General features: G+C 36.2%; 1 protein-coding gene and 1 pseudogene across 65 annotated transcripts in view; one reads left to right on the top strand and one right to left on the bottom strand.

Annotated features, from left to right (window-relative positions):
• TBC1D5 (TBC1 domain family member 5) overlaps nucleotides 1-26,065 on the top strand; it is a 585,470-nt gene that overhangs the window by 69,663 nt on the left and 489,742 nt on the right. For 13 of the 65 annotated variants that reach the window (XM_047449304.1, XM_047449284.1, XM_047449315.1 and 10 more), the window contains exon 2: nucleotides 9,859-9,979. The exons of 48 other annotated variants lie outside the window; for them this stretch is intronic. The gene's annotated coding sequence lies outside the window, so the exon portion shown is untranslated. Of the gene's footprint in view, nucleotides 1-263; nucleotides 425-9,858; nucleotides 9,980-25,912; nucleotides 26,009-26,065 lie in introns of all 65 variants that reach the window. 4 more of the 65 variants (XM_047449305.1, XM_047449313.1, XM_047449300.1 and 1 more) reach the window with 2 other exon arrangements.
• RNU7-10P (RNA, U7 small nuclear 10 pseudogene) lies at nucleotides 7,945-8,002 on the bottom strand (annotated as a pseudogene).

Here is a 26,065-nt window from a genome sequence, read left to right as displayed (position 1 = left end):
GATAGAACAACATCAAAACCACAATTTGTATACCTGTTTCTCTTTTGACAGACATTAAGGGTCAGGATACTTTGCATAGACTTCTTCCACAGATATTCATGGAGCTCTGTAGGGCTCGGTGTTTTCAGCACACGGACAAGCTGCCATCAATTCTTATAGCATTGTATCCAGGTTCTGGCACTAGGCAGCATCCTTAGGCAATTTGATGCCACTAGAGCAGTATTTTGCTTTCTTTTTTCTTATTGAATTTCCTGTCTTTACAGGCCGATCCACTGTTTCCATTCCTGGCAAAGAAGCCTGCAGACAACACTGTCATGCTTTTCTTTTCAACAGATGTCCTCTGACTCCTCCCAACCTCCTAGTACAAAAAAACATAAAAATCTTTGTATGTTTTGCATCTGTTTGAAAAAGATGCCTTTAAAAAGTAGGTGTTTTCTAGTTTTTATATTTTTGCTTTATTGTAACCTGTGGGAGGCTAGGACCTGTGCTATTTGGAGTTTATTTTGCCACAGCAACGTGTGTGCTGGATCTGTGCATAAATAAGACATGGTTTTGCTTAATATGAACAATATGATTTTGTGCCCAGGTATATAATTCTTTCAGTTAACAGTGAACTCTTGAGTATTGAAAAAAATACATTCTTATTTTGTAAACATTTTGGAATGTTTTTAGACATTTTAAAAAATTGTATAATGTAAGTTGCATTCTTTAGGTTCAAATTTATATTATCATTTTCAGTTCAGCTAATTTAATTTTAAGGTGTTTTATATTTTGCAAAAAATCATGTATTTGGTAGAAGTCATATGTTTAAAAGTATATTTAAACATCTATTACACACTTAAGATTTGGGTTGTGGTGCACTCTCAAACCATTAAAGAGAAAGCTGTCAATTTATGAAATTCTTTGTATGCCCAACAGCTTGAAGCTGGCTTATAGAATGCCGAATGTTAGACTATCAGTTTTATTAACTCTTTCACTTAAAGTATTTCTTCTTGAAATAAAAAAGAAGCTTAAGTGAATTGCTAGGTCTGGATCATTTATTGAATGTCAGTAGTTTCAGAAAGCTGAAAAATGTTTATGCTGTGTAATAAACAGATGCTGCTCTCATAGTGCAATACGTTATGTACCAAAAATGATCTCTGTTTTAATCATAGATGCTGATTTAATGAGACAAGACTAGCTTAACATCAAAAATAGATTTAGGATGTAATTTTTGCTTTTTGTATGTTTTTTCTATATAATTAATAGACATACCTTTTAACATCATTATCACATTTGGGGGAGAATGTTTATTTCTTTGATTTTCACATCTATTTTTGAATTCACAGGAGTTTGTAATTGTCCTGTAAACCCATTCAAAATAGCTATTAAAATGCCTTAAAGAAGATGCCTTGTTTTGTACTTTATTAAGTCTACTTTGCTTGAAATTCATATAGGTCTTAACTTTTCCACCTTTTTTTGATTAAGGATATTGAATATTTTCTACAATTTGTGGGACACTTTGGGGGAGGCCGTCAATCAGTGAATTCACTATTGTGAGATGATGATGCTTGAGGTTTAAAATCTCTGTCACTCAGTGTGCTTAGGTTGCCTTTTTGGTTTGCTGTCCAGAGTCACTGGAGTCTTTTTTCATCTACGAGAGAAGCACTTTGCTAGGCTCTGCTTTCTTGTTCACTTAATTTATTCCACGAGCACCCTCAAACTTGACTGCAGTTGCTGACTTTGAGTCCTTCTGCATCTGTATTGTACATCTTTGATTGACATGTTTGCCTTTACATGTGGTCAGATAATTTTATATTTGGAAAAATATTCTTATTGTGTGTTTTATTTGACTGAACCTAGCAGAGTTAAATGTAGTTTGGATGCATTGGGAAGAATTAATGATTGGAAGATACGGAGTTGGTAAATTATTTATTCTGGCCCTAAGGAAGCTGAAAAGCTGAGTGAAAGACTAATAAATCATTTGTGGTAGTGCTGGTTGTCACTTCCAATTATTTTAGACGGTTTTGTGATAAACTGCAGCACCTGCTAGATATCTGCACACCCTCCCTTGATGCTAGTGGTGCAGCTTGTTTAGTCGATTATCAAAGGCAAGTTTGTGTAAAGTTTATTTAGGTTGGAAAGGAAATTACTCTTTTTGAGTCAATTCTGTTGCTTTTCCTCATTGTTTTGAATGCTATGAAAGGATTTCCCTGACATGGCCAGGAATCTGGAATATGCCTACTACTTTAGCCAGGAAAGACTGTCTTTATCCTTTGTTAAATACTTGAAGAATTGAGCTTCTTTATTATTCCCAGACTAATTAAAAACTACATCAACTGAGATGATTAGTATGCTAAAGATCAAATCATCATTTTGGTACCAATTGATAGAGAACCACTGTTGCTGCTTGACCAGACTTTTTTCTTCATTCTTTGTTTTTAAAGGCTGAGATTTTATAACTACTATCCTAAAAGGTAGTGAGATCCCCCTTTCCACTGTTCCTGAAGTCTGCTGCTGAGGTTCTTGAAGAGGCAGAGAAGAATTGGAAAGAAAGCACAGCCTAGACTGGTCTGGTTCTAGCAATCTTGAAACAGGACTACTCTAAAACTTGTTGGAAAATAAATTACGGACACCATATAATGTGCATGCTTTATGTTTGGAATCAGCTCTTTGGTTTCTGTCAAGAGTTTAATAATAATTTGTGTTCGAGCCCAGAACATTAGGTTTGTTTTTACATGTTCAGAGTGATTTGGTATTCACTGAGTTTTTCAGCTTTAACGTAAAAACATAAGACAGTCTGGCCGGGCGTGGTGGCTCACTCCTGTAATCCCAGCACTTTGGGAGGCCGAGGTGAGCAGATCACCTGAGGTTAGGAGTTCAAGACCAGCCTGGCCAACATAGTGAAAACCCATCTCTACTAAAAATACAAAAAAAATAGCTGGGCATGGCGGCGTGCGCCTGTAATCCCAGCTATTTGGGAGGCTGAGGCAGGAGAATCTCTTGAACCCGGGAGGCGGAGGTTGCAGTGAGCCGAGATCGCGCCATTGCACTCCAGCCTGGGCAACAAGAGGGAAACTCCATCTCAAACAAACAAACAAACAAAAAACATGGGACAGTCGAGAGGACGGTTAAAGATATATACCTTGAATAATCTTGATACGTGGTCTTGTATTCATTGAGTTGCATTTTTACTCACTGACTTGCTTCTCCTCATCAAACATTTATTAAAGGTTATATGTGCCAGCCCCCTGAAACAACAATTACTACTGTAATAACAACTCTTTTTAGAGGTTAGTATGTGCCATGTACCATTTTTAGCATTTTTATATGTATTAACGTATTTTAATATGACAGCCCTATAAGATATTTATTATTCCTATCCTTATTTTACCAAGGAGCCCTATGGAGTGATAAGGCAATAGTGATTTAGTTTTTTTCTTTAGGGTCTACAGAAGGTGGGAAACATTCATGGTAAATCTTAGTTAATTAGGTTTAGGAATTTTAATCCAAGTAGTATAATAATAACTATCATTTATTGAAGATTTAATTTTGTATTTTGTACTATATATATTATTTCACTTTTAACCCCTGAATTATAAATGATTATTATCTTCTTTGTCGTTGTATTAGTCCATTCTCATGCTGCTATAAAGAACTGCCTGAGACTGGGTAATTTATAAGGGAAAGAGGTTTAATTTACTCCTAGTTCCACAGGGCTGGGAAGGCCTCAGGAAACTTACAATCATGGTGGAAGGGGAAGCAAACTCGTCCTTCTTCACATGGTGGCGGGAAGGAGAAGTGCTGAGCAAAAGGGGGAAACTACCTTTTAAAAATAATCAGACCTGATGAGAACTCACTCACTATCATGAGAACAGTATGAGGGTAACCACCCCCATGATTAAATTACCTCCCACTGGGTCCCTCCCATGACACATGGGGATTATGGGAACTACAATTCAAGGTGAGATTTGGGTGGGGACACAGAACCAAACAGTATCAGTCATGATGGTGAAATTGAAACTTAAAGAGGGTAAACTACTTGCCCTGGGTTGTGCAACTTGGAGATGGGGGAGCTGGGATTCGAGTCAGGATCTGACTGCCTCCACACTCTATTTAGGGATTACAAACCCTACTTCCTGTGGAACTTCGTAAGCCACAGAAAGTGGGGAGGAAAGTTGTCTAGTGGGCAGCTGGGGAGCATTGACAGCAGTGGGACCAGAACTATGAATCTAGTGATTTTTTTTTTGAGGTAAGTTAAAAATCTAAATTTTTATGTGAAATGTCCAGTTTAAAAAATCTTGGCAGTTTACGCAGAATGAATTGTTTGCTCACTGGAAGTGGCCTATGGATGCCAGTTTGAAACCCCTGCATATTGCCTCCCTTCTAGCTTTATCAAATTGAAAACTAGTGATAGTCTATGAAACAATATTAATAGATTATATTAGTAAAATTCCATCCTTTAGGGTAGTTAACAGACTAAATGAAACATAATTGTTTATTACTTTAGTAATTCTGTATAGCTTGTTATACACCTCAAGAGATTTAGTTGAGTTTAATTTCAGGTTATGGGATACTAGTAATTCAAATATAAGCTATAGCACAGAGTATAAAATCAAACAGTAAAAAAATCAAACTAGAATTTTGAAAATCTAAGCGGGTATTAAGTTATGGAAATGTTTATTGAAACACTTTTCTTCCCTCCCTGTAGCCACCCCCCCATTCCTCTAGTGCTTTTATTTCCTCCTTTCTCAGCTCATACACATTTCTTTCCCTATGCTCTGAATATGTGGGAGATTTAAGATATATATATATATCTTAAATATATATATATATTTTTAAGTGAAATGCCTTTATATATATTTTTAAGTGAAATTAAAAATATATATATATTTAGTGGAATGCCTTTATTAGATTACAGGGAGAATTAAATCATATGTAGAATGTTGTTACTTTTAATAGAATATAACACAGTCAAAGGTCAAGGTTTTAGTAAATGGGGACCTGTTTGAAATAAAAGTCAGTGGTTGTTTATGGTTTTATTAAATGCGTTAATCTTAAAATACAAATTAAATATTCCTGGAGACAACATGTATCATTTCATAAGTGTTTGAAAAAAAAATCAGACTAATCAGTTGTTAGAGGGTTCTTCCACAAAAAGGTTTTGTCTTTTGAAAGACAAAAACTTAATACTTGTTATAAACTTACTATTTTGGAATTATTAAAAATAATTTTCCTGGCTGGGCACCGTGGCTCATGCTTGTAATCCCAGCACTATGGGAGGTTGAGGCGGGTAGATAGCTTGAGCCCACGAGTTTGAGACCAGCCTGGGCAACATGGCGAAACTCCATCACTACAAAAAATACAAAAATTAGCCAGGTGCGGTGGTGCATGCTTGTAGTCCCAGCTACTTGGAAGACTGAGGTTGGAGGATCACTTGAGCCTGGGAGGTCAAGGCTGCAGCCATGATTGTGCCACTGCTCTCCAGTCTGGACTCCCGTCTCATTAAAAAAAGAAAAAAGAAAAAGAAAAAAAATTTTTTCTTAGTGGATTCTTCAATCCTACCTTATAACAAAAGTAATTGCGTTGAAAATCAGTGGTTCTTTCTAAAATAAAGGGCTTAATAAATTATGTTTTTTTAAGTGAGTCCTTTAGCTCTTTAGAAATTAAATACTTGTTACTGACTTCATTTTTATAAGTTGGAGGCTTTTGACCTATAGCATTTCATTTGGTTAGTTCAGTTGCTCGAAGTATTTTGCTGCTTAGTGCTTTATATTTGTCTTTTTGTGGTAATATTCATAGCTTAGTAGGCTTGTTTTTAAAACACATCATAATATTTGAGAGTTCAAATGCATCTCATTTACAAAGCTTTTCATCCAGCAGCTAGAAGTAAATTCTTCCTCTTCCTAACTTCTGTGTAGCTGACTGTACTTCTACAATGATTTTTTGTAGCAACATATGTACATCTCACACTGTCTTGTATTCATTTTTATATTTTTCTAACATTCACTAACTGTTGAGTGAATAAATGAAAAAAAATTCAGACTAATCAGTTGTTAGAGGGTTCTTCCACAAAAACACGAAAGATCTAATACTAGTAATTGTTATAATGTTACTATTTTGGAATTATTAAAAATAATTTTTCTTGGTGGATTTTAATATCCTACCTTATAATGAAAGTCATTCCACCCAGAATCAGCACTTCTTTCTTTTGAGAGAACCGTTGGTTCTTAAATTAGATCTTAACTCCTATATAAGATCGTTACACAGGTAGGGCTTTTGTGAAAATTGATTTTACTAAGAAATCACTGAAGTTTATGGAGCAACAATTCTTCCAAATCTAAACATGTACTCGGTGTCCTACTTAATAAGTAATGGAGATTTACTATGTTCAGACTTTTCAAGTCTAACTTGAAGGGTAAATACTGCTAAATAAGTATCAATATACAATATTGCAGTTCTAAAATGTTGCAAAAATTAATGAATTATTTGAGTGCTTATAATTAAATGATGCTTGGGAAATCTGAAGGAGAAAAATTTTAGAAATGGTGATTCTAGTATGTTACTTTATAGATAAAAGGTAATTCAGAATGCTAGAGGTGGATGGGTGCTTAGAAGTTATCTTCTAAAATCTTCTTTGTCAGTAGGAAACAGAAGTTTTGGGAGATAAATAATTGGACCAAGGTCATAAGACTGCAGTGTATCTAATGCTAATTACTAATGTGTGCTCAATACGTATTTTTATGAGTAAAGGAAATACTTTATGTATAGGGAGTTGCTGAAAAATTTGTCATGTGTAGTTTAGGAAAGTTACTGCAAAAACAATTGCCATGAATTTTCAAATTAGAAAATAGAATTATTGCCTTCCCTAAAAATATTTATACTTTGAAGAGATGAACTTAGAAGACATAATACTTTTAAAAACATGGCAATGTATAGAAAGATGAAATAGAATGTGTTCTATTTAGCTTTGTTTCTAGCAGCACTTTGACTGCATAATTGGAAGGTACCTTTGGATAAGCTTTTTGGAAACTTTTCTAGTTGGAAAAGGATTTCAGCTGGAGTGTCTAAAGGGTCACACACACAAAAGACCCTCTATATTAAAATAAAATGTGTCCAAGCTTTAAAGAAAAGATCTCAAGAGTTTGCAGATGATCCTAAAATTGGAGCTAGGGGAAATAATGAGGAACAATGCAATCAGATTCAAAAAGATTTGGATTGTTTAGGTGATTGGGCCAGCAGATGGCAAATGCAGTTCAGTGTAGACAAATGTAAAATAATTATCTTAGGAACAAAGAACCAATCATACAGCACACTGATCAGGAAAAAATTTGTGAGTTATTGTAGGAAAACCATTGAAACAGTTAACCCGGTGCACAGCTGCAGCAAAAAAGGCAAGCAAGAAACCAAATTAGCAGACGGATAGAATATAAAGCAAGAGGCAATACTTATAGTGTATTAAGAAACTTGCTAGACCCCATCCAAATTACTCAGTCTACTGTTGGTTGATAGAATTACTTTAGGAAGAGTACGTTTTTGCCTTGGAAATACACTGGAAGTGGTACCAAACAAATCTAATAAAATGATGTTAAAGAGATTTGCAGTAATTTTTATCAACTTTCAGTTTGCAAACTTTTATAAAGATATGAGCGAGACACTGAGTCAAAGTAAAGACACTTCAGTTCTACTACAAAGAGTTGGTCTTCCAAGAGGACATGTGGTTTTCATTGCCTGGGGCCTTACTAGGCCCCTTTCTAGGTTAAGTAGGAGGCTGCTTCTCACCTCTCAAGATTAAGGAAGCCTAAAGGCTAGCACAAGGCCCTTCTGTAGTTTAAGAGTTGCACCTTGACAGCTAGAAAGACCATGGGCATGAGGCTAAGACCTGCCACTGAGATGCTTCCTCCTGGCCTTAACCGTTTTTTTTTCCTTTCTTCTTCCTTTTTTTTTTTTTTTTTTTTAAATAGCGGGGCTTTCCGGTAAAAACCAGAAAGCCTGGTAGACAAATTCTAAAAGAGCCTGTAACCTTTGATTCAGTAACATAAGTTCCAGTCTTCATTCAAGGCTGTGGAGGCAAACATTCTTCTGTGATTTGCCTTCCTTGATTCCTGTCCAAGCTGGATTTTCCAACCTTGTCTTAGTGTTGTGAACTATCTAGTACCTAGCCAATAAATTCCTTTTTGACTTAGATTCACTAGAATATATGTCTGTTGTTTATATTCAGGAGCCTTAACTGGTACAGTGGTAGTGTTCTGTTCTTCTAGCCTTGTTTCTTGAATTGTTTTCTTTTGTCCTATAATGTGTTTGCTTTGTTTTGAGTGGTGTCTTATACTAAATCATTTTTGGGATGAGAAGAAAGCTGAAATGCAAATTGTCCTCTTCGTCTCGCTCTGCCTCTCTTTTTGTCTGTCCCTCTCTCCCTCCCCATCAGAATGCAAAAGAAGTGAAAAGAATTTGTATCCATACCATCAGCATCTGTAATTCTTTTGTAAAATTTAACTTTATCCATGCAATTGAATATTCAGTGTTACTGTTGAAAAATGGCCTTTGGTATCGAGATCTGTTTTAAGAATGTTTGCATTTTTTAATACATTATATTAGGTATCTCTAAAAATCATTTTCTGGCCAGGCACGGTGGCTCACACCTGTAATCCCAGCACTTTGGGAGGCTGAGGTGGGTGGATTACGAGGTCATGAGATTGAGACCATCCTGGCCAATATGATGAAACCCCGTCTCTATTAAAAATACAAAAAGATTAGCTGGGCCTGGTGGTGTGTGCCTGTAATCCCAGCTACTGAGGAGGCTGAGGCAGGAGAATTGCTTGAACCCGGGAGGTGGTGGTTGCAGCAAGCTGAGATCATGCCACGGCACTCCAGCCTGGGCCACAGAGTGAGACTCCATCTCAGGAAAACAAACAAACAAACAAACAGAAAACAGAAAATGATTGTTAGAAAGTTCAGTGTAAAAATGCATTTTTCCATTTATTCGAAAGATGTTGGGTTGTTGTAAGAATGGATTACTTGTGTTTTATAAGTTTTTTATATGAAAAATGGGATTTTTTTTGCATCTATTACTTTTTCATTTAATAGTATATTGTGAGCAGAAAATATAAGCCTATATCATCTCTTTTAATAGTTGCATAACATTCTGTTATTATATAGATGTACTATATATTTTTTAACCAGTTCCCATAGATGACTATTTGGGTTATTAGAATTTTCCACTGTTACATATACTACTACAGTCAAACTACTTTTTAATAATGTTTGTGTATATCCCTCATTATTTCCATAGGCTAAATTCCAGAAATGGACTTACTGGTTAGAAGGGTAATTACAAGTCTCTTGATACTTACTGCCAAACTTTACAAGTTTCATTTCCACCAGCAATTTTGATTCCTGGATTTTTTACATCAATACTCGTATTAATACTTAAAAAGAAAACATCTCTGCTAATTTTATAAGAGAAAAGTAGTTTCTTGTTGTAATGTACCCGTTTTTAATGCTATTGACCATTTATATTTATTTTATAATTCACTTCTTAATACCATTTACCTGTTACTCAGGTAGTTTTCTCATATTTAATTACTATATTATATATTAAGATCAGTCTTTTGTAGTATGTCGTCAGTATTTTTTTTCTGTGTTTGATTTTTTTTTAAACTAGTGAGTTGAGGAATTTGGTTTTATTTGTTTGGATTTGTTTTATTTTTGGGTCATATAAATTTTTATGTAATCAAATATATATTGTTCTACATAAAAATTTTCATCTTTAGTATTTAAAACTTAAAAAATACCTAATAAAGTTTTAATTGATCTAGGATTTTAAAATTATCAGTTTTGGGGCTTATATTCTGTATTTTCTATGTATTGGCTTTGCAGACCTCATTGTACATACAAAATTACAATCATGAATGTAAAGGAAAGCACACTGGAACTGCTTGCAGCTGACTGCGACCTTGAGTCTCAGCTTCTGCATCTGTGAAATGAAGATACTGGTCTGGTACAGTGCTGTTCATTCCATTTTTTTGCCCATGAACCCCAGTAAGAAAATTTAAATCACAACCACGGACACTCATGTACATAAACACATACAAGTATATGTATGTGTGTATATACACATACTGTGTTTCTACTTTTTGTGTGTCATGCCATACATATCATGCCATGCAGTGCCAGATATTATTTAAAAAAAAACTCACTAAATTGCTTTCCTTACCTATTAAGGGGTGTTACAATTTGAGAAACACTTGTCCAGTGGATCTTTAATTGGACACTCAGATGCCTTCTGGGACTGACCAGATAACAGTTGCAAATAACTTAGCACTTTAGCTAATCAGAGGGCTTGGGTTCTATCTAAAGGCATTCAAATTAAAAGAGTAAAGCAAAGCACTTTCTTAGGTCAGCAGACATTTTCAAGTGGAATTCAGCCTTCACATTCGGGACCCTATCCTACTCTAGAGAAAAAAATCAAATACATAAAATATTGGCTCATTACTCTGTCAAATTGCTGTAAAATATTTTAAACAGTTCATGGTCAGGCAGTGAAATCAGACTATACTTTTAATAGCATTGGTCTGGTTGCTGATATTCAAAGGCTTTCCAGGTAACCTCCTCCTCTAAACTTCTTTGGCACTGTGACAACTTCTAGCCATGAAAATTAGGAGATAAAATGGCTTAACTCAGTTTTCCTGATTTAATGAGAAATAATGTCTGTGATAGGATCTGAGAAGATAAATATGAAAGAGATAATTCCAGGTATCTGAGTTACTCTCAAGGCTGGTGTTAAAGGAGAAAGTGGGCTGGGTGTGGTGGTTCATGCCTGTAATCCCAGTGCTTTGGGATGCCAAGGTGAGAGGATTGCTTGGGGCCAGGAGTTAGAGACCACCAACCTGGGCAACGTAGCGAGACCCTGTCTCTACAAAAAATTTAAAAATTAGCTGGACATGTGGTGCATAGCTGTAGTCCTAGCTACTTGGGAGGCTGAGATGGGAGGATTACTTGAACCCGGGAGTTTGAGGATGCAGTGAGCTATGATTGTGCCACTGCACAGCAGCCTGGGCGACAGAGTAAGACCCTGTCTTAAAAAAAAAGGGGGAGTTGAGGGAGATAGGTGAACTTTGTCCTTTCCATTTCAAATGAAGGTGATGCACTATCCTAGCAACTGTGTCCAAAAACACTTTTAAGAAGATGCTGGCCAGGTGCGATGGCTCATGCCTGTGATCCCGGCACTTTGGGAGGCTGAGGTGGGCAGATTACAAGGTCAGGAGATCGAGACCATCCTGGCCAACATGGTGAAACCCCATCTGTACTAAAATATAAAAAATTAGCCAACGAGGTGGCAGGCGCCTGTAGTCCCTGCTACTCAGGAGGCTGAGGCAGGGGAATCGCTTGAACCTGGGAAGCGGAGGTTGCAGTGAGCTGAGATCGTACCACTGCACTCCGGTCTAGTGAGAGAGCAAGACTCCATCAAAAAAAAAAAAAAAAAGATGCTAATGAATAACTAGGGAAAAATCATATAGAAAAAGTTCAATGTCCGTGAACAAATACAGCAGCATTTGGATATCTACCAATACAGAAGCATTTGGATGTCTACCAAATCTCTTGTGTCTGTGTGTACACACACAAAATTATTTTTTGACTTGATTTTCTGGTTTTGGGGATAAGACTGTATATACTTCGAAGATTCTGTGATGTATAACCATTAAGTCTCACTTTTGGTGACTTAGGTAATTGTAATGGAACCATGGAGCCATTAGACTCCAGATGGGACTTTAATCTGGCTTCTGATTGAGCGGAGTGTCCTTGTAGAGTCTCTTAGCATCTGTTTGGGAAATGTATGCAACATTATTCAAAATTTGTACAAATTAACCCACCCTTGGGTTATAATTGAATTTTTCTTTATTCAGAAATGTATTATAAATATTTTTATGCAATCAGATTAAACTAGCTTATACATGTTATTTATTTGTCTATTAAGTGGTCATGTAGATTTTTGTGACTGAGCTTTTAGTGGATTAAGAAAGCTTACGTTAGCCTTCTAAAGATTGTAATTTGTTTATAAAATGTTGTTTATTAAAGCTATTTCCAGGTTTCAAATAGCTTTCATATAGGTACTTATTTTTGAGAGACTATTTAAAAATACTAAAAATTATGGTGGTTCTGCCTTTTAATAACAGAAACTCCCAAATAGTCTGCCTTATTCCAGAATGAAGTTTATTTTTTCCCTACAATGGAAACTATAGGTAGGGGAGCTTCTAGGGCTTTATCTCCAAGCACTATATGAGCAAGGTTATCAGCCTGACTTACCTGTCTTTTTAAATTTATCTTCAGGCTGGTTTCCTTCATGTTTATAGGATAGCTACTGTCCATAGCTAGAACAACAAACATTCTTCAGTTCCAGTAGGGAAACAAGAATTTTTCTCATTATTGGAGACTAAAAGTTGTTTCCTTCAGTTTTATTGGCCCCATTTAGATCATATGTTATCTCTGGACCAGTAACAATCACCATGTGCTGTTTGGTTTAATTAAGTCTGAGTTTCTGAAGCACTTACTTGCAGGAAGGATGGTATTATAGCATTTGGTTCAGGATCTAGCTCAGGTACTTGAGGGAGACTGGGTAGGTCAGCTTCTCCTGAGTTATGGGAGGGGAAAGGTAAAAATGGATGTTGGATTTGCAACCAGTGGAGTCTCTTCTATAAGCATTATAAAAGTTCTAATCCACTCCTTGATCAAGATTTTAGTTTCTTTCTCTTTTTGCATTTTTATTAGTACTATGGCTTTTAATTAATTATTTTCTTATTTACAGAACACAGAAATGAAAATCATGTTGGGGAAAGAAATACTAGTTAGGTATTTTGTAGTTGCTTGGGCTTTCTTTGTTATGTGGAGATTGGAAAAATTGTAAATATTGCCTGACACAGGTAAAGTGTAAGGAGATTGCATTATTAAATAAATGTTAGTGACATTTTCTCAGGAAACTGTCATATATCATCACTATTTGTCCCTCCGCCAAAGGAAGGCAGTATAATTCTGTGGGCCCAAATTCTCAGTGGTTTGTCTTGCCATGTGTAACTAGGTTTTTTTCAAGTATTAAAGTATAATTGTATAATTTATATATTGAAAGGTTTAATGACTGAGAATGAGAGTACTGGAAATGAAGAGTTCTAAATTGATGGCAGAAAGAGCTTATCCTGGATTTAAGTTAGGAAGGACTAAAAATACTGGTATGTAAGAAAAAAATTCCTCAGGTAATATTGGAGCAAATGTAAGTTTGAGGTTTGAATTGTCTGTCCCTGGTTGGTAGTATTTGTTTGCATGTTTTCCTGAAGAATGAAAGGCTGTGTTTTCCTGTCAATTCATCCACTGTTAATAAATTTCTTTAGCTGTTCATATGTCAAAGTGCACTACTACAAATACCACTAATTTGGAATTTGTAATAAATTGATTCAAAGTAGTTTTAAATTAAATAGGTTGATACGCAACTAGCAGAATAGAAAAGGGATCTCTTTGCCTTTTTTAGGATTAAAAAACAAGGCATTCTAGATGCCTTCCTCTCCTTTATCTGTAACATCTAACAGGTGTTGTTGATTCTTCCTAGATGGTTATCTCTGGAATCAGCTCTTCTTATTCTGGTTAGATCTTATTTATCATTTGGACTCCCTAATCCCTGTGCCAGAATATTCATATGATACATATTATTCAGCACCTTGACTTTTTCTTTTTGAATTTAGCTCCATGTGAGCACATAGATCCATGTGCTCACACAAATCCACTCGTTCTATTTTTAAAGCTTCATAGTATTCCCAAGTAGGGATGTGTAGTATATAATCTCAAAATAGTTTTTCTCAATGGTAGATCTCATTATGTTTTTGTTCTGGTTGCAGGTTCCCTTCCCCCTCTGTACAATGGTGATCCTCAGTCATGGGAGGGAACATTTGCTTCCTAAGGATGGGGAATCTGAATCTTGCTCTGTCTCCCAAATTCTGATATACCTTCCTATTTGATGATTTCTCTTGTATTAAGAACCATAACTGGCTGGGCGCAGTGACTCACACCTGTAATCCCAGCAGTTTGGGAGGCCGAGGCGGGTGGATCACCTGAGATCAGGAGACCAGCCTGGCCAACATGGCAAAACCCTGTCTCTACTGAAAAATACAAAAATTAGTGGGGTGTAGTGGTGCATGCCTGCAATCCCAGCTACTCGGGAGGCTGAGGCACGAGAATCGCTTGAATCTGGAAGGCGGAGGTTGAGGTTGCAGTGAGCTGAGATTGTGCCACTGCACTCCAGTCTGGGTGACAGAGTGAAACCCTGTCTAAAAAAAAAGCTATAACTGTCTCAGATATCAGAGTAGATAAAAGGTTGTAAACACCCTACTGGTCTTACTTTCTTGCCACGTGATTTAATAATTCTGAACAGATTGCCTTTTCCTTGGCTGGGAGTCTTCTGTTTTTTCTTCTCTTTACTTTTCTGCATTGACATATATTTTTACTATGCTTTTAATACCCTTCCCTTCCCCTATTAATCCTGAAGCTTCATCTCATGAGATTTTTCCTGTTTCGGACTGCTGAGCTGTTAACTAAGAGCAACTGTAATTTCTTCTGAAGTTCTAACTCCCTTCTACTGGATTTTTGAACAACTTGAGGACAGAGTGATGCTATAATCTTTATACTTTTAGCATGTGGACAGTAATAGTAGTATATATAGCAGGAAATCAAATAGCTAATTGAATGAATGGAGTTAATGGATATTTAAGTATCCAATCATGCTCCACTTGATGGGAACAGGTTTTGAGATATGTGTTGTTAGGTGATTTCATCTTTGTGTGAACATCATAGAATGTACTTATACAAAACTAGATGATGTACAGACTGCCACATACCTAGGTTATATGATGTAGTCCATTGCTCTTGGCTACAAACCTGTACAGCATGTTACTCTACTGAATACTGTAGGCAGTTGTAACACAATGGTATCTGTTTATCTAAACATAGAAAAGGAACAGTAAAATTACAGTATTATAATCTTAAGGGACCACCATCCTATACGTGATCTGACATTGACTGAAATGTCATTATACAGCACATGACTGTATTTATGTTTTTGCATAAAATAGCTGAATTTTCAGTAGTGAAATTTACTGAATATGTTGTTAATAAATTGGAGTTGCAGAAAGGCTTTACTCAAGTAGTTGGTCATAAGGGAAATAAGATAGGTGTTGAGAGTTTAAAATCTACAGGAAGGAAAGTAGATACAGAGATGTAAAGTCTCTAAAGAGGCAGAATGACTAATGGACTTGGAAGCCTTGGCCACTTTCCTGATTGACTATATTGATGCAGCTAAAGAAAGAATTTGTCCGGCCGGACATGGTGGCTCACGCCTGTAATCCCAGCACTTTGGGAGGCCGAGGCGGGCAGATCACGAGGTCAGCAGATCGAGACCATCCTGGCCAACATGGTGAAACCCTGTCTTTACTAAAATACAAAAAATTAGCCGGGCATGGTGGCACATGCCTCTAGTCCCAGCTACTCGGGAGACTGAGGCAGGGGGAATTGCTTGAACCTGGAAGGTGGAGGTTGCAGTGAGCCGAGATTGCGCCACTGCACTCCAGCCTCGCGACAGAGTGAGACTCTGTCCCCCCGCAAAAAAAAAAAAAAAAAAAAGAAAGAATTTGTCCATTGAGGGTGGAGAGTGGATTGGCTGCCATCCAAGGAAGGGCCCAAAGGTTGAAGTTGGTAGTACTTACCCCAGCTTTTGTTGGGAGATTTTTAATATTCTGGTTTCTACCTCTCTGTATATAGAGATATACGCAGGGAGTTGCAGGTGGATGCTCCAGGTTTTTTGTTTGTTTGTTTTGTTTTTTTTGGTGGTGGAATAGTGATTAAAAGATAGACTTCAGCAGACAAGGTTCAAATTCGGGCCTTTTTTACTTGCTACTTGTGTGTCCTTGGGCAAGTTTCTATCAATCTCCAGTTTTTAGTCAGTGTGGCTGAAGGCTAGACCTGGAACCTATTAAATTCATAGGATAATGACTTTCCCATGACACCTTTGGAGAGCCAGCCATCCTGTCGCTCCTTGACAAATCTGTACCTCATTCCATCAGCAGTGTGGGCCTAGGTGCTTGAACTATTCCATTCGAATGCGCATTTTATATATATATATATTCATCTGTATGTTTGATGATAAATAAAATATCTAGTTCATCATTTTCTAGCGAAAAAACATATGAAAGTGTATGAAATGCATTCAGCACACAGTTCAGCTCATATTAAAAAAAGTAGTATTTGACATACACTGGAATGAACTCCTGAAGAGTAGGATCTGGGTTTGGGTCATCTCTATTTCTGTTTTACTTTGGATTGTGTGTGAGAGGAGTGTCTGAAGTTAGTTCATGTTTAAAAGATGTGTGTGTAGCAGGAATAGGAAGTAGGGGCTTTCATGGGAATCTGAGAACAGGGCCTGGTTTTAAGATTATAGGAAGTAATTTTGGTTTTCAGGGAACATATCAAATAAACTTACTGTTACTCTGTATGCCGTCTTTTCTGTCTGGCTACCAGCAGGAGTTTCTGTTTCCATATCATTTTGGCTTGCATTGTTAACTTTCCTACCTCAGCAACTAAGGCAGAAGGGAGGTTTCTCCATAGATGATTCAAATTGTTTGAGAGGCACAGAAAATTTGAGCAGCCCTTCCTTTCAAATGAACCAGGTTCTGAAGGTTCTGGTTTACTGATGACCCTGAGCCTGGTGCCAACCCAATGTCCGATTTATTGTTGCTGGTGTGGTATACAGCTAGCAGCCATGGCTCAGAGACTGGATTCAGGGCAGCTTCTTTGAGAGAGTGATTGTGATCGCTAGTTTCAATAAAGTATGCTGGTCTATAGGAGTTGAGAAAATTGCTCCTTTAATCTGAAAGATGTTCTAGGCAAAGGCTACTGAGTGAATACAGGAGTACACTGCTTCATTTGCTGCATAATAGCTGTATTAGTGTCCTAAGGTTGCGGTAACAAAGTACTACAGACTGTATGGCTTAAAAACAGAAATGTATTTTCTTTTCTGGGGGCTGAAAGTATGAAATCAAAGTGTCAGCAGGGTTGGTTCCTTCTGAGAGTGAGAATACGTGGTTCTTTATTTAAATGTCTGTATCACTTCTTGGCCTTTTGGCTAAGATCAAGTGTATTTAAATGTCTCTTTTTAGTGCAAGTTGAGTATTTCTTATCCAAAATGCTTGGGATGAGAAGTATTTTGGAATTCGGATTTTTTTTCTGATTTTGGAATATTTGTTCCAATGAGCATTTCTTTTGAGCATCACATCAGCGTTCAAAAAGTTTCAGATTTTGTAGTATTTCAGATTTTCGGATTAGGGATCCTCAACCTATTGCAGGTTTAATGAAGATGATTGTTTTCTCATTATTAGGATTATGGTTATATATAGTATTTGGATGCCACGATGTGAATATGGTTAATGAAAGTGGAAGTTTATAGAATTTATATTGGTGGGTTTCATTTTTTAATTTAATTTAATTTAATTTAATTATTATTATACTTTAAGTTTTAGGGTACATGTGCACAATGTGCAGGTTAGTTACATATGTATACATGTGCCATGCTGGTGTGCTGCACCCATTAACTCCTCATTTAGCATTAGGTATATCTCCTAAAGCTATCCTTTCCCCCTCCCCCCACCCCACAACAGTCCCCAGAGTGTGATGTTCCCCTTCCTGTGTCCATGTGTTCTCACTGTTCAATTCCCACCTATGAGTGAGAATATGCGGTGTTTGGTTTTTTGTTCTTGTGAGAGTTTACTGAAATAACTAAAATCAGAGCAGAACTGAAGGAAATAGAGACACAAAAAACCCTTCAAAAAATTAATGAATCCAGGAGCTGGTTTTTTGAAAGGATCAACAAAATTGATAGACCGCTAGCAAGACTAATAAAGAAGAAAAGAGAGAAGAATCAAATAGACGCAATAAAAAATGATAAAGGGGATATCACCACTGATCCCACAGAAATACAAACTACCATCAGAGAATACTACAAACACCTCTACGCAAATAAACTAGAAAATCTAGAAGAAATGGATAAATTGCTCGACACATACACCCTCCCAAGACTAAACCAGGAAGAAGTTGACTCTCTGAATAGACCAATAACAGGCTCTGAAATTGTGGCAATAATCAATAGCTTACCAACCAAAAAGAGTCCAGGACCAGATGGATTCACAGCCAAATTCTACCAGGGGTACAAGGAGGAACTGGTACCATTCCTTCTGAAACTATTCCAATCAATAGAAAAAGAGGGAATCCTCCCTAACTCATTTTATGAGGCCAGCATCATCCTGATACCAAAGCCAGGCAGAGACACAACCAAAAAAGACAATTTTAGATCAATATCCTTGATGAACATTGATGCAAAAATCCTCAATAAAATACTGGCAAACCGAATCCAGCAGCACATCAAAAAGCTTATCCACCATGATCAAGTGGGCTTCATCCCTGGGTTGCAAGGCTGGTTCAATGTATGGGTTTCATTTTTAAAATGATTGGTGTATACAGTTTCAAGATAATTGTTTTTGTTAGTTACCTCCTACATAATGGCATGGCAACTAAGAACTTTATGTCCAGACACAAACTGATTTGTTAATTACATATCAAAATTTTTTTTCAATCATTTCATTATGTGTCTAAGAAGAAGGTTACAGATTTAAAGTAAAACTAAATCTGATTAAATTATCAAACAAATTTGTCAGTGTAATTCTAGTGATATTGCTAAAATGAATATACTTTTCTCATTTTAATAGTAAATTTAAAATATAGTAGGAACCTATAGGAATTATAAGTGTTTTGTTTTGATTTTTTCCCTTTGACTTTGCTTGTTTTAATTTTGAAGTCTGCTGTCGAAAATGTCAATACTAGTTTAAATTCTGCATAACCTGATTTTTAAAATTTAATTAAGCTGACTTGACTGAGGAATCTACTCTCTCACCCCAAAAAGAATGCATATCTCCTAAGTAGATGCAAATTTTGTGAATTATTTCTTGCCATTAGAATAACCCCTCTAATCCTTATTCACTTAATTTATGTCAGCATTTTCTTAATATATATGTTCATGGAGGAAGTTAAGGTTGGTTGCTAGGCCTCATTCTCCCATCCTTCCTTCCCTTCTTTCCTTCTTACTTTCCTTTTTCTTTTGAAATAATTTAAGAGTTGCAGAAATAGTACCCTTCTCCCAGCTCCCCTTAATGTTAACATCTTATGTAACCATAGTTTAATTTTCAAAACTAAGAAGTTAACGTTAGTATAGTACTATTAATGAAATTACAGATTTTGTTCATATTTCACCAGTTTTTCCACCATTTCCTGTTTCAGGATCTAATCTAGAAATCTACATTACATTTAGTTGTTATGTCTCCTTAGTCTACCCTAGTGTGTGATAGTTCTTTAGTCATTCCTTGTCTTTCATGACCTTCAGACTTTTGGATAGTACTCACTGGTCAGCTATATTTTAGAATATCCCTCAATTTGGCCTTGTCTGGTATTTTCTCATGATCAGACTGAGGTTATACATTATTGAGAAGGATACTGTAGAGATGATGTCCTCTGATACACTCAGTGTATCATACCAGTGGTAAATGATGTCTTATTACTGGTGATGTGGCAGCATTATTATTTATTTTATTTTTTAAGGTAACATAAAATTCACATAACATAAAATTCATATAACATAAAATCAAGTGTTTAAAATTGTGCAATCTACCACCTCTATCTAGTTCTAAAACATTTTCATCACCTCAAAAGGAAGTCTGTATCCATTAATCATTTTTCACCTGTCCCCATACTCCTCCCAGTCTGTGTTCTGACTATGTAGATTTACCTATTCTGGATGTTTCATGTAAGTGGAATAATAGAATATAGATATTTCATGTAAGTGGAATAATAGTGACTTTTGTGTCTATCTTCGTTCACTTAGCAGTGTTTTTAAGGTTTGTCCGTATCTTAGCATTTGTCAGTACCTCATTTCTTCTTATGGCTGAACAATATGTCGTTGTATATATCACAGTTTATCCATTCATCCCTTGATGGACAGTTGGGCTGTTTCTATCTTTTGGCTATTGTGAATAGTGCTGCAGTGAACATGTATGCACATTTACTTGTTGAATTGTTGGGTCATATGGTAATTCTAACAAACTTCCTAGTGCAGGTAGTCTTTAATTCTTCTGGCTTTCATTTGATTTAAAAAGTCTAATTCTGTTACAGAATAATCAGGGTGCTGCAGAAATATTCTTTGTAGATTTTAAATGTCACACAGTGAGTTATGTTTTAAAACCTGAAGGTATTTGTCATTCTAATTAAACTACTTTTTTCTGGACTTGATTGTTGACAGACTCTACCTATTTTTCCATCTATAATGATAACAAGATATAGTGCTAGAGTCCAAGAATTTGTTGTGTTATATTTATTATCATTTTAAGTTATATGCATTTTGTCCTTATTTAGAATACTTTTTCTCCCAATGTAGAGGAAATTTACCGGTTTAAGGAAACATGTATAATAAATACCTGAACAACAGTTTAAGGAAGCATTTTATACTTTTAAATATTTCTTCATTTCAGACTTGAAGTTTTCGATGTAGTTTTGAGCCTTCCTTTATAAATAATTTATTTTCATATGATAAATATAATGTAGTATTGATTTTTAAAAATGCTTTATATTTTATATAGTAGGGTAGAGAAAGGAAGAAAGATTATTCTACTAGAAACTTATGATAAGATGGCAAATGAGAGTAGAAAGTCCTCTACTTAGGACTAGATCAGGTCTATAAAGGCTGTTCTTAAATTTATTTTTCCTTAATCTTGAGAGACTTACAAATTTGTCTGTAACCCTTGAATATATTTCCACCAAATAGGAATATGAGTTGGCTTTTTTAATGGTTTAAAATCAAGTCTTTAGTCCTAGGTCATCTTGTTTTAAAAAGATGAGTTTCTTCTATGCTGACACCCTTTCAACCTAGGAAATCTTTTCCTTATGTGGTCAGAAGCTCTGGAAGATCCGATGTCCTCTGCATTATTTCGTTCTCATTTTGGGGTTTTCAGGCAGAATCAGGGGACCTTGAACCTCTGGTTTTTGTGAGAGTTTTCACTCTTATGCATATTCACTGGCTTGGGTTTTAAGTTCTAGAACAGAACTCCTGACCTTCTCCTCACCTAACAATGGATATATGATATTGACATGAATACTGTAACCCAGTGGTTTCTCCTGGAGTGGGGGAGGAAATGTAAAAAAAAATTTTTTTTTTTTTGAGACGAGTCTCTGTCACCCAGGCTGCAGTGCAGTAGCGCAATCTTGGCTCACTGCAACCTCTGCCTCCCTGGTTCAAGTAATTCCCCTGCCTCAGCCTCCTGAGTAGCTGGGATCACAGGCGCATGCCCGACGAAGTTTTTTGTATTTTCAGTAGAGACGGTGTTTCACCATGTTGGCCAGACTGGTCTTGAATATGGACAAGGAGTAAATTAATGGACAAAGTATGGAACATTTTGAAGATGCTGAAACCATCTCTTAACAATTCTGAAAAATCAAATATTACTGTGAGGACCTACATTAATATAGGTCTGATGATGTAACTTATGTTAGATACATCGAAAGAATGATTATATTCTGGGATGCTTATTGATCGTAAAGCTGTTTTCTTACATTATAAACATTCTGTTTTCTCTTCTTGGAAACTGATTTTTCTTATTTTTCCATAAAGCTGGAAATGTGTTAATTTTTTGAGTGTTCAATTTTTAAATGAAAACGTTATGTATTTTATAGATATGAGACTTAAATGATATTTAAGAATTTTTTTGATTCAAATAAATGAGAGAACTCACTTTTAAGAAAAACAATTGAATAACAACTTTAGCTAAGTTTTAAGGAAGGAAAAAAAATCTTGATTTTTCTTTTCCAGGAAAATGATATGCAGCTATCCCAATAATAGTATTGTTGCCATATTTTTAATTGCTAGTGAGTGATTAAATTGACCTGATAGCACTGGGAGTACTCCAGATTAATAAAATGAAATTCTTACATGTCAATGCAGTATAAAATCTGAATGTTCCTTCAGTCAAAAGGGATTGCCTTGTATAAATGAAGTTGAAAAGGGATGTGATAATCAGAGCTACTGTACCCAAAGTCACTGTTTTAGTACATTCACCACTTTACACATTGAGTTACCAGCTAAGATTTTAGAATTACATCACTAGGTAGAATATATTAAAGATGATCCCTCAGAAAAAGAATAAAATTCCTGCAGCAACTTTAAACCAGGTGTAGGAAGGGGAATACTTTCATCAATACAGAGCCACTATGTGAAAGCCCTGCCTTGGGAGAATCGTACCAAATTCAAAAGTATGACTTTTTTTTTGTCTTTAAGAAATCAATTTGGCTTCTGGTTTCTCTTCTGTCTGATGAATTTTTTCTTATGAGTAGAAGAGAAATAAAAATCTTTACCCATTTGAAATTATTACTTTGTTATATTATTGTTGAAATTTATTAAAGTAATAAAAAGGTGTCTTATTTAGGCAGAGGCCTGTCCATGTACATGTGCATTTTTTGGTCATCTTATTAGAATCCAGCCATTTCTGACCACCTCTACCCCATTTCTTTTATTTCTTTTTCATCTTTTTTCTCTTTGACATACCAGTTTTATTTTTATTTTATTTTATTTTTATACTTTAAGTTCTGGGGTACATGTGCAGGATGTGCAGGTTTGTTACATAGGTATACATGTGCCATCGTGGTTTGCTGCACCCATCAACCCGTCACCTACATGAGGTATTTCTCCTAATGCTATCCCTTCCCCAGCCCCCCACCCCGCAAGAGGCCCCGGTGTGTGATGTTCCCTCCCTGTGTCCATGTGTTTTCATTGTTTAACTCCCACTTATGAGTGAGAACATGTGGTATTTGGTTTTCTGTTCATGTGTTAGTTTGCTGAGAATGATGGTTTCCAGCTTCATCCATGTCCCTGCAAAGGACATGAACTCATCCTTTTTTATGGCTGCATAGTATTCCATGGTGTATATGGGCCACATTTTCTTTATTCAGTCTATCATTGATGGACATTTGGGTTGGTTCCAAGTCTTTGCTATTGTGAATAGTGCCGCAGTAAACATACGTGTGCATGTGTCTTTATAGTAGAATGATTTATAATCCTTTGGGTATATATCCAGTAATGGGATTGCTGGGTCAAATGGTACTTCTAATTGTAGATTCTTGAGGGATCGCCACACTGTCTTCCACAATGGTTGAACTAATTTACACTCCCACCAACAGTGTAAAAGCGTTCCTATTTCTCCACATCCTCTCCAGCATCTGTTGTTTCCTGACTTTTTAATGATCACCATTCTAACTGGCATGAGATGGTATCTCATTGTGGTTTTGATTTGCATTTCTCTAATGACCAGTGATAATGAGCACTTTTTCATATGTTTGTTCGCCGCATAAATATCTTCTAATTTTGAGTGCATTATTTTTATTTTTTAACTTTTATTTTAGGTTTGGAGGTACATGCAGATTTGTTACATAGGTAAACATGTGTCACAGTTGTTTGTTGTACATATTTTTTCATCACCCAGGTATTAAGCCCAGTACCCAATAATTACCTTTTCTGCTCGTCTCCCTCATCTCAGCCTCCACCCTCAAGTAGACGCCAGTGTGTGTTATTTCCTTCTTTGTGTTCATAAGTTATCATTTAGCCCCACTTATAAGAACATGGGGTATTTGGTTTTCTGTTGTGCGTTAATTTGCTAAGGATAATAGCCTCCACCTCCATCCATGTTCCCACAAAAGACATGATCTCATTCTTTTTTTATGGCTGCATAGTATTCCATTGTGTATATGTACCATATTTTCTTTATCCAATCTGTCACTGATGGGCATTTAGGTTGATTCCATGTGTTTCCTATTGTGAATAGTGCTGCAGTGAACATTCATGTGTCTGTGTCTTTGTGGTAGAATGATTTATATTCCTCTGGGTATATACCCAGTAATGGGATTGCTGGATTGAATGGTAGTTCTGCTTTTGCCTCTGTGAGGAATCACGATATTGCTTTCCATGATGGTTGAACTAATGTACATTCCCACCAACAGTGTATAAGTGTTCCATTTTCTCTGGAAACTTGCCAGCATTTGTTATGTTTCGACTTTCTAATACTAGCCATTTGACTGGTGTGAGGTGGTGTCTCATTGTGGTTTTGATCTGCATTTCTCTAATGATCAGTGATACTGAGCTTTTTTCATACGCTTGTTGGCCGCATGTATGTCTTCTTTTGAGAAGTGTCTGTTTGTGTTTTTTGGCGACTTTTCAGTGGTGTTGTTTGTTTCTCTCTTGTAAATTTGTTTAAGTTCCTTATAGATGCTGGATGGTAGACCTTTGTCAGATGCATAGTTTGCAAAAATTTTCTTCCATTCTGTACGTTGTCTATTTACTCTGTTAATAGTTTCTTTTGCTGTGCAGAAGCTTTTAAGTTTAATAAGATCCCACTTGTCAATTTTTGCTTTTGTTACAGTTGCTTTTGGTGTCTTTGTCATGAAATCTTTGCCTGTGCCTATGTCCTGAATGGTACTGCCTAGGTTGTCTTTTAAGATTTTTATAGTTTGGGGTTTTACATTTTAAGTCTTTAATCCACCTTGAGTTGATTTTTGTGTATGGAGTAAGGAAGGGGTCCAGTTTCAATCATCTATATATGGCTAGTCATCCCAGCACCATTTATTGAATAGAGAGTCTTTTACCCATTGCTTGTTTTTATCTGCTGTTTTGAAGATCAGATGGTCATAGATGTGCGGCCCTATTTCTTGGCTCTCTATTCTGTTCCATTGGTCTGCGTGCCTGTTTTTGTACCCGTACCATGCTGTTTTGGTTACTGTTGCCTTGTATAGTTTGATGTTGGGTAATGAGATGCTTCCAGCATTGTTCTTTTTGCCTAGGATTGCCTTGGCTATTCGGTGTCTTTTTTAGTTTCATACGAATTTTAAAATATTTTCTTCTATTTCTGTGAAGAATGTTGTTGGTAGTGTGATAGAAATAGCATTGAATCTGTATATTCTACTCCATTTCAAGACACCATTGTCACCTGGACTTTGCAGAATCCTCTTAGCTATCTCCCTTTGGACTAGCTTCCTTACTCCACAGATTTGTTCTTTACCTAGGATCAAAGTCATTCTTTTGTAATGATTATCAGATCAGGCTACTAAGAAGTTCAACTGTTGTCCTTATTTTGCTCATTATTTTTTAAAAGTTTACGATGGGCTTAAGACAGTATATCATTCGACTCCCCTAAAACCTCATCTGCACTAATTCTGCTCCTTCCCCCTACTGCAGTCACAGTGGCTCAGTGACAGTCTTTCAGTACTGCAAGTCTGCTCCACATCAGGGTCTTTGCACTTGCTCTTCCCTTTGTCTGGAAAACCCTTCCCTCAGTTATCCACAGAAATTTTTCCCCCACTATCTTTAAGTCTTTTCTTAAGTGTCACCTTGTCAGGGAGGTGTTCTCTGAGCACCTTATATAAAATCATAACCTTGCTCCTTTCCCTACGCCAACTTCCCTTATTCCCTGTAGCTTGCTTTACTTTTCTCTGAAGCACTTAATAATTTCTGAGTTTGTGTATATTTATTTTTGTTTGTTTATCAGCTGTTTAACCACTGTCTTTAGAATGTAAGCTTGTAAGCTTCATGAGGGTAGGAACTTTGCTTTGTTTTCTGTGGTTTATCTAGCTTCTGGAACTATACTTGGCACATGATGGATACTCACTGTGTTTATGTGTTAAATGAATGAATGATTAAATAAGGGGAAGAGAGTTACAAGCAGATGTGAAAAGCATTGGTGTGTTTCAGAACCTGAAAATATTTGCCTGTTTATTTGACGTGGGAGCAGTGAGTGATGGTCTCTTTTTTTCTCTTTAGTTTTGGAGTCCAGAACATGTAAAGTTTTTTCACCCATTATAAACAATTTGGACAAAATACTGCATGTTCTACTTAAAATTGGGAGCTAAGCAGTGGGTATGTATGCATGGACATAAAGATGGAAATAAGGGACACTGGGGACTCAAAAAGTGG

This window comes from Homo sapiens, chromosome 3 (assembly GCF_000001405.40).
Source record: "Homo sapiens chromosome 3, GRCh38.p14 Primary Assembly".
Taxonomy (NCBI): domain Eukaryota; kingdom Metazoa; phylum Chordata; class Mammalia; order Primates; family Hominidae; genus Homo; species Homo sapiens.
The sequence above is the reverse complement of the archived record's forward strand: the minus strand, read 5'-3'. Positions and strand labels throughout refer to the sequence as shown.